Consider the following 10,255-nt stretch of genomic DNA (forward strand, 5'->3'; position numbering starts at 1 on the left):
TGCGGTGGTCATAGGAAAACAGATCCAATTCAGGTCTCATGCAACAACTTGGTGGCAATTTAGGAAAATGTATCAAAACCCTTAAATGTCTGAATACTCTTTGACCCAGAAAGTCTAGCTTGAGAATTTTCCCTTAAGGAATAATTATGAATACCTACAAACTTTTCATACAGGGTGTTCAGTGCAGTATCTATAATAGAAAAAAAAAATGCCAGAAAAAAATGGCAAAAAAAAAAAAAAAATGGGAATGTCCTACACCCAACAATAAGGTATTGGTTATAGTCTTTTTCTTACAGCGAATACTAAACTGCTATTGAAATAATGCTGTGAAATAATACGTAATGATATGGAAAAGAATTGATACTATATGCAATGAAAAAAATCAGTTTCATCCCCATTTGTACCATGTGAGTGTATACTTACGTGTACATGTGTGTACACACGACACATCACATATGTAATAATGGACAGAAACACATCAAAATGTTAAGCAGTTATCTCCAGGTGATAAAGCTGCAGGTAACGCTTTTTTAACTTATGTTTCCCAAATTTCATACAAGTTTGTTTTACAGTAAAAAATATAATACAAGGAATTTTACTCCATTCTTATGTACCCATTCTATATTTATCTCAATTCAAATTTATGAAAATCTTTCTTTTCTATTGTGTAGCAAAGTGGTGGACATCAAAAGATTTTAAAAAATGAAGAGTCCACAAAAGTAGTTTATCTTCCTCAAAAGTTCTGCGTAAATTACAGTATTACAGAAGAGTTTATTGCTTAAACACTTTGCAGTTAATCAAAGCTACTGTCTTTTGTGACATTATATCTTATTTAACTCTAGTAATAATTTCCACTTTAGAAAAAAAAAAATCTGGGCTTTTGAGAAATGTAATTTGATTTGTAATTTCCAGACTTGGGAACACACAGTTTGCTAAAAACAGAAAAATGTGGGACAAATGTTTTAGATCATACCAATGTTTTAGAGTAATTCAATGAATCTCTCTTTAGTTTGAAATAATTGAATGGGATCAAAACTAAAATATGGCAATGAACTAGAATCTAAGCTTAACATCCTGGTCTCCCAATCATAAATTAATTTAAAATTTTAAGTTAATACCTAGGGAGTCTGTTTTGCTAAGCCTTGTTCCAGGAACATGCATAAAAGTGATAATAAAATTATAATAATATAACACAGGAGAGGGGTTCCAGGACTTTGTTATTAGATTGATAGAAGATCCTCTGTAAGTTTCAGATATATTTTAAGCTGAAGTGAGCTCAGAGTTGTCAGGCTGATTTTATCTAATGATGAGCAAATCCAAGATTAGATGTTTATTGGAATGTTGCTTTGTTGCTTAAACAGATGACATAAGTAATCACACCATCCTGTAAGTTTCCTTCACCCTGAAGGTACTGGATACAATTATTGTGTCTGGAAGCATACTTTTGGTAAAAATTATCAGAAATAAATAAAATGTCCAAAGAGAATAAATCCTCTTAAGGCCAAAAGTTTGTGTTAACCACCTGCTCCTGAATAAAATGAAGGTTATAGGAGCTTTTAATAAAACATTTTCTCTCAAAAACCTTAATATTCCCCAAATGATGTAACCAAACAATGTTAAATACAAATAAGACAGAAGAGCATTTATTATTGGTGCTACAGTCCAGCTTTCACTATTCATACAGTGATTTCAATTTAACTCAACATTTTTGGAGTCCCTATTATGTCTCCTGCACTGTGCTCAGACAGTATGAACAAAAAAGATAACACAAGGTTCCTACCTTTGAGAAGCTCTAGCTAGAAAATTACCTTCAGATTACTCAGATGCGGGGGATAACCTGAATCCCTAAATTACTCGCCATTGTCGTGTCAAAGCTTCGCATCCCATATTCTTCAAATGAGCTGATTTCCTCTCATTCCTTTGCTCAGATTTATCCAGAGCAACCTACTGCCTCCACAATAGCTAAATCGATAGAGATTCTGACTAAAGATATGGACTTCCTCCTCCAGAAACATGCGCAGAAGTGCATACACCATTTACTTCGTTTCACTGCACTGGAAGATGATTTACTGAACATAAGCAATATTTGTAAAGGATTATGCCTCCGTTCTCTTTTGAAAGAAAAATGACTGTTTCCTGGAAAAAAAATTTAGAAAATTCTGACTGTTCAGTAGTACATCTCAATGAGATCTAGTTTAAATGAGTTGAAACTGTGCTTTGGCTTTTGACATAGCAACATATACTTCATCTTTGATAACCCATTACAACTTTTTCCCTATGGCAACAAGTGCTGAAATCCTTGACTCACAAAGGTACGTATTTAATAGAACGAAAGCAGAATTGCATAGAATGGAATTTGCCAGGTTAAGGTGGCCTGCACACTGTAACACCAAATTCCTCCAAGACTTTCAAGTTAGATTCAAGTCACATTATTTCCTCTGCCTTCAAGTTCAATTAGACTTCTGGAAAGTCAGCAGATTTCTGTCTGGTTAGAGAAAAACATCTTACCCTGCTCCTGTTTCTTGGCAACACCTTTTGGAAAGGTGGTAACAGCTGCTGATATGGAAAGCACCGAGGCACAATGACGTGCAGCAATCCTTTCCTCATCAAGCAGGAAAACCATGCTGTGTTGCTGACATCACAGGTGCACCAGCTGCCCCCAGAGTGCAATTTTTCTTCTTCCATTTGAATATTTATTGAGAACGAATATTTTGAAGATGTTGACAGTCTTTCCAGTTTCCAAAAGGTGTTCTTAAATGGAGTTCTCCTTTGATGACATCAGCAAGCACATGAAAATGTGAAGCTGGATGCACTGAGAGGCATCAACAGTTTCATTCATTTGCATGCTGAAGAGAAATATGCAGAGCTGCCCATTTCTTCCAAGTCTGAAGTGAGTGATGTCATTTGACAGAAGTAGGGCCTTAATTTTCTTTCATGGACCACATTTAAGAACCTTTGAGTCAAACTATTTGATTCTGCACTCCCCTTACACTATTGTTTCCCACCTCTGTACTTTTGTTCTTGGCATTTCACCCATCGAAAAATGTTTTCTCCCTGCTCTCATCTATTCAAATCCTGTCCATCTCTCAAGACCTAGACCAAAGCCAGTCTCTTTCATTAAGCTTTCCCTGACTACTGCAGCCTGAAATGATCTCTCTTCTGAACTCTGACAATGGTTCCTATCTTTGACAGTTCTCAAAATGTGGTTCTGAGACCACCACCTTTAAAAATGCACCATATTATGTATTTTTACAAGCACCAGAAAGAGCTGTGGTAATTTTTCCTGTTTTCCTGAATCTTCTTTGCAACTCTTAAAAGAATAACTCACTTCCCAGATGGATGGAGAGAAGACTGACAATGATTATTTTTGCTGGGGTGATCAACTGACTCATCTGAATCATTCCTTTCTGTACTCATTTTCACACAAATGTTTTGATTTGTCAGTTGTGTATCTGTCAGGTCTGTAGTGTCACTGCTGACTGCTGAAATCCTACATTTACCCATGGACTTTTCAATCACAACCTCCCAGTGCCATGGCCATCCTTCTAAGGATTCAGATGTTGCTACCATTTTCAAAATAACTTCACACTCTATGAGAAAGAATTTAAGCAGAGCTTAAAATGAAGGCAAGCACAGTTAGATGGAAATGGCTACAACTGACATCATATACTCAAATAAGATGTAAAATCAAATGTATTCTGGAACTGAGCAGCAACTTCAAGATCATCTCTTCCAACAGATTCACATGACAGGTGGGGGAAATGTGGAGAATGGGGTATTTCAGAGCAAGAAACTGAAATTTAAAAGAATAAAAATCTTAAAGTTAAAACAATAGCAAGATCACATACAGTCAAAGGCATTGTCCTAATTAGCTCATGGATTCAACATTAAGGATAAATAAAATTGAAGAATTAAATGAAAAGAATTAAAGGATGAAAATAACTCAAAATGTAAAAGATGGATCACACTCATCTATAAACATGGCCCAAAAGACTGTCTTTGATATTACAAGTAACAAGATGACTTGGACTCAAAACCAGTTATGCTTATTCATAATAATAGTTATCATGTACTTACTGTATACCAGGAATTGGGCTAAGTGTTTTACATACATTAATCAACTCAACTGCATTAAATTCTAATAGAAAAAAAGTATCAAAAGAGAAAGTCTATAATACCTCTGTAAGAAAAGAAATGAAGAAAGCAAAAGCTGGCCATGCATCTGCAGCCTGGTCTAGTAGAAAGGATGCTCTGCATATTGAACAATATCTGGTCTGAGTGGCAGTTGCATTCCTATGGGGAAGATGAGTGTGTTGCACTACCAGAGCTTACTGACACTGGTTGCTGAGAGCTGATTCAATGCTCACCAAGCAACCTTCTGATTATAATTTATTTTTCATGTAGATTTGCCTATTGGGAGAAAATGCACTGAACCATAAACATGAGAAATGATTGTGCCTGACACTTCCCATCTCAAATTAAAGAACTGAATTGTGGAATTTATACACTACTATGAAGCCGGTTAAAGGGATACAGTCTTCTAATACCTAGTTACCTCTCTGGATGAACCAATAATCAGGGTCAGCCTTAGAAAGCAGTGGCCACATCAAAGTTCCTGTGAGGCCTGGCAGGGAGGCCAGCCTGCCCTCTGTCCTGCTGTCCACCTTCTTTAAACAGCAAAATCCCACGATTACACACACACACACACACACAATAACCATTTTAATTAGAAATGGAAATGATGAGAAAAGGAACAAAATATAGTGTTTTTCCATGCTCTAGAGCACTAACTTGTGAGCTTAGTTTTTACAGCAGATAAGGCCAAAGTGGTTTTTTCCCCCCAATGGCACCGATAAGTACTTATTTTGCTTATTAAAAGAATCAGTCACCTAAGCAAAAAGAAAAAGTCCAAGTAGAACTTGGACATATAAACTTTTACCAAAGAATAAATATAAAAATATTTCAGATGTCCACAAATATATGCAATACATCATTACTTAGGGGTGTTGTTTCCTTTTGGGATGTTTTGTTGGCCAGTTTTTGTTTTCTGACATCATCTCCATAGGAGAGAAACTTATAAATATGGCAGGATCCTAACATGACTTAATCACAGTTCTTGACAAGACTTTTTGTTCATTATCTTACATCAAGAATTCCAAAGTCAGAATGCAGTAAGAACCCTTAGGACCCTGTGTTCAGGGTTGAGGATAACACACGTAAAAGCTGTGCTAAAGCTATGAACATCAAGAATATGATCTTACTTGTTCAACAACTGAATTTTAACTATGATGATGGTGTTATGAAAATATATTTTTAGTCTGATTAACTTTTTTTCCAATCAACAATGGTTGGAGTCTAATAGTATTTTCAGACAGAATTACCAAGTAAATAATACATTGAGAAGGCCTGCCATCTTTAGGAAGAAAGCAGAATTACTGACTAATTATCTAACATGAAGTTCAAATATAAGTACTCAACCTCTATGAATATTATCATGGACATTTGGCATGGGACACATTTTTAAATGGATTTGTCTTTTGTGACACAATTTGGTCCATAAGATCTAAAATCAAACGGTTCTGACAGGCTCTATTTTTCTCTGAAAGTTAAAGCAATAATTGCACTGATAGATAAGCTGGCCAAAAAAAAAAACCCAGAATGATCAAAATTAATGGTGTATTTTTATATAGATGATCATGAATCATATCAAGATAAAAATATATAGTTACAAGCTGTTTTGAGAAACAAATGAAAGACTATTTCTGTGATATGCATTTGAGGTTGGAGATTTTAAAATTTAGAAAATGAAACAAACATTTGTGGTTTGACATTTTAACATCATTGCTTCTCACTGGCCTTGAGATAAACTGTTTGTACACACAGTACAAATTTTTACACAAGTCTGAAGGTAAATGATTTCCCTGAAAACTTCATCTGCCAATTCTTTCTCAAATGGAAAAGTAAATATACAATTAGCTATTTTTGGTAACCAGCAATAACAGCTATTTATAAATTTCCCTTATTATTTTTTAACTTTCAACATTATTTATCATAAATCAGTGACCCTCTCTTCCTGAAAGAAATGTGAAATACTACATCATGTTGCACGTGAGGTACTCAATATGCTAGAAATAAATAATAATTTAATACTCTGTCCATTCATATTAACAAAAAACAGTTGTTTAATAATAATAGGCAGTATAGCAAAATGGAAAGTTCATGGACCAAGGAACAAAAAAATCCCGGGCTCTACAATTTTCAGACATTGTTAAGTAAAAAAAAGCAAGGTGCAGAAAGGTATGCATAATATGCTACCATCTGTGTGAAGGACAATGTATACATCTCCTTGATTGCACATACATGAAATAGCTCTTGAAAGTCCAAGAAATTGGTAACTTCTTGCCTCTGGGGAAGGTAATGGAAGAACTGAGAGATGGGGTAGGGAAAAAACTTACCTTTCACAGTATACCTTTTTGTACTTTTTAAAAACATGTTATTACATATTAAAATAATCTTTAAGAGATAGCTGGCTTCTATTCCTGACTTCTTCATCAGCTACACATTTGACCTTGTGCAATCACTTACCTCAATTTTCTCCATTTTAAAATACTAAATCTCTAGATTCTCCATGTACAACTCAACAGAATTATGGCTCAATCGAAGGTATATACAAAATATCAGGTGGTGAAATAAAATAACTATTAGCCTTAATTTGCAATGACTTACTCTTCTGTCTTTTTATTCTGTATTGAAAGTAAAAGTGTGATTAACCCACCTTTTTGACATATCCAAACTATTGCTTCTGAGATACACACTCTCAAAACATTTCAGTTATTGAGTAAATATTAAATGTAAGTATAAAGAGGTAGAATTTTGTGGTAGAGTTTCAAAATTGAAACTGAGATAGGAAAAAGCTGAAAATCACCCATATATCTCCAAAAAATTATCCCAAGAATCTTCTAAAAATCATCCATAATCTTTATAAACAGAAGATACTAAAAGAACCAGAGAAGGCCAAGAGTAGAGCAATAGAAAGCTTAGACCAGGAAAAATAGGACATGAAGAAGACACTACAAAAAAGAAATCAAAACTTATTGATAGCTTACAGGACAGGAAGAATGGGGACAGGCCTGGTGATCCATTCTTTCATAATTCTACATGCTGCAGGGTAAAACTGCTAGCCTTGGGTCTCAAAGGGCTTAGTCTAATCATGGGGGGCAATGTAATTAATAACGCAATAATAACACAAAGGATAGAAGTGAAAAATAAATGGTAAGGTAAATGTGAGTTTATCAGAAGAGGTCTCTATGAGTTGGAACTGTCAAGAACAGATTCATAGAAGAAATAAGACTTTGAAGTCTACGTAATAAGCAAAGTGGTGGTGGTAGCATGGATAAAATGAAGAATTCAAGCAAGGAGAGTCAGTTCTAGTAGGATGGGAGCAGTAATCGTAGATAACAGGCTGATGAATTTAGTTTTAGACATAGTTTTATTCTAAATAGTAACTTGGCTAAAAATATTAAAAATTATTTTTCAAATGTTGGGTTGCCAAATTTTCTTTATAGATTACTACATAGGAATGATGACATGCTAGTAATATATCAAAACTGGCTGACTAGGCAAGATCAACACACATCTAGATCCAACTTTTTAATAGGCAGGGCCCTGAGGTATGAGAAAATCACACTTACACAGGATGTTTGGTAACCATCTTCCAGTATTTTCTTGCAGGTACCTAATATTATTTCCTAACACAATTTTCATACTCAGGAATCAGCTCCACCCAAAAAACATAAACCAGGAAATCAAGAGGTGCCAGTTTTACTTTGCCATTGATTAAGTTTGTGAATTGGGCCTGGGTGATGAAATTGAGTGCTGTGGGTTTTAACTATATGAAAAAATGTCAAAACAAAAAAAACCAAAAGAACAATCTGTCAGTGATCTAGTGATTTTGTAAAGCTAAAGCAATGATGTATAACCACTTAACTTCTGGCAAAATACACATTATAAATTCAAGATATTTGTTATTACATGGATAAAAAGTTGTGTCTGTGTGTGTGTGTGTATGTGTGTGTGAGAGAGAGAGAGTGTGTGTTGTTATTGGTAGCATACTGATAAATCTTGTAAGAAATTTCTAAAAATGTATTTCTAAAATGTTGGCACAGGGCAAGAAAGAATATCAACAAATATAAAGAAGGCTATAAAGCAAATGAAGTCCTCAATGCAGAAAGCATATATTCTAAAATTCTATTCTACTTTTGATTTTTGTTACAATCCTTCAAACACCCAAATACACATATCTTCATCAATAATCTCTTAGTGATTTACTGGGGTGTGAATGAGAATATAGAGGCTTGCCAGGAAAAAAAAAATGATGTTTAAACAAAAAGAGACTGGAAACAGGTAAAAGTTTATGGTTAATATAATTGTGTGTTACAGCAGTGTGCCTTGTATTATTTGATGTGGATATTAGGCTTTAATGCTAATACCCATCACTGATTAAAGTATAAATAACAAGAAAGAGAAACCATTTTCAAAGCATTAAAACAAAAAACTTAAAAATGTGTGTGTGTGTGTTTTTTTTACTCTAGATCATAAGGGAATAAAAAAATTGTTTTATTATAGCTATCCTCTTCTAATTCAGGTCTGTCATTTCTACTATTGACTTCAGTTTTTAGGAGTTATAACTCAGCCATAAAATTTACTATATTGAAACTTGACAAAGTCTCCTGGGAATTCTTTCCTTTAAAGGCATATTTTAAAAGTTAATGCCAAAAAAGTTGGATACAGACCAATGGCATCTTGAGTGGTATACAGACCTATGCTTTCTTTATTAAATCAATGGTTTCTATCCCAAGCAGGGCTGATTTCTGAAAAGTCATCTTGCATACCCTCATAAGTACCCACTGGCCTGGAGGTACGTGGTGGTAAATAGGCTGCTTCATTTCACTTTTAAGGAGACACAAATTTCCACTTCATACTAGTGTTTTCTAGATGGCAAGATCAGAAACAGTTTTATCGTTAGGTTCTTCCTCCAGAAAGGAGGTGGAAAAGGGAAAAACCAATGAGGGCCACAGGATGACAACGCAGGATCTACATTTCATTAAATATTCACCAGTCCAAAAAGTGCAGCTTTACAAAGTATAATTAATATATTTAAGTCATCTGTTCAACCTTTAATAGTACCTTTATTCCCTTAGACTCTGGCTATGGATACTAAATTACTTAAGTTTCTCATACGGATTATGTCAAATTCTATCAGGATCTTATCAGCCAGATGGCTTTCTCCTAGTTTCCTTGACTAGATTAGGCACACAGACATAGTACTTGCCTAGATCAGAGGCATGGGGAGTAAATCATGAAAATTCCTGGACAGATCAAAGCTATGGGACTCAACAAATAAATCTTATTTGGTCCAAGAACACTAATCAATTGCTTTATTTTTTAAAATAAGATTTTTCCTTTTTCAAGAAATAATCTTTTAAAATAGGTCTTACAGATTTTATCTTAAAACCTCTCTGAATACAACACATAAATTAATTCATATTGCCTAATACTATTACAATTTAATTATTCAGTACTTCTCAGAGTAAAATCAAATACATGTTATATTACATATTTTATATGGGGGTGGGGGTAACAGAGAGAGAGAGAGAGACAGCATCAGAGCTAGCCAAATACCTGCTCCCAAATGAAAAACTGAAATAGGTAGGTATTATCCTAAATTACATAATAAATGAAAAGAATCCATGTAGTAGTATAATACATTGATTCTATTTATTCTTCCTGGTAATCCCTTCAAAGTCTATGGCTTCAACAACTACATGAATACTAATGACTTCTAAATCTCTAGCCCCTGGGCAATTTCTCTCCTGACCTCTAACCTGTATATTCTACTCCTATTAAGCATCTCCAATTAGATATCCCTCTACCACCTCAAACTCAACATACCTAAAACTTAATTCAGCATTTCCCCCTGGAAAAGTGTTCTTCTTCCTCCCGTATTCTTTGCCTTGAAGAATGGTGCCACCCACCTGCTCAACTAGAATGCCTGAAACTGAATCATACTAGATTCTTTCTTCGTCTCCACTGCCTGGAAAATTTCATTTCTGAAATAATTATTTCACCTGTATCCTTTTCTGTAGTCTCATTGCCAAAACCCGAATTTACGTCCTATCACTCTTACTTAGACTTCTGAAATAGTCTCTTAATTGATTTCCCTCACACAATCCCACATCCCCACCTCCACTCCAAT

At 34.6% G+C, this 10,255-nt stretch overlaps 1 protein-coding gene across 9 annotated transcripts in view; it reads right to left on the minus strand.

The window, feature by feature from the left end:
- Positions 1–10,255, minus strand: part of ZNF800 (zinc finger protein 800) — a 49,850-nt gene that overhangs the window by 5,347 nt on the left and 34,248 nt on the right. Inside the window, exon 6 of one of the 9 annotated variants that reach the window (NM_001438591.1) lies at positions 1,622–3,793. The exons of the other annotated variants lie outside the window; for them this stretch is intronic. Within the exon in view, the coding sequence (NP_001425520.1) occupies positions 3,781–3,793 (13 nt within the window). The 3' untranslated portion in view covers positions 1,622–3,780. Of the gene's footprint in view, positions 1–1,621; positions 3,794–10,255 lie in introns of those variants that run through there. 9 annotated transcript variants of the gene reach the window in all.

This window comes from Homo sapiens, chromosome 7 (genome assembly GCF_000001405.40).
Source record: "Homo sapiens chromosome 7, GRCh38.p14 Primary Assembly".
In the NCBI taxonomy this organism is placed as follows: Eukaryota; Metazoa; Chordata; class Mammalia; order Primates; family Hominidae; genus Homo; species Homo sapiens.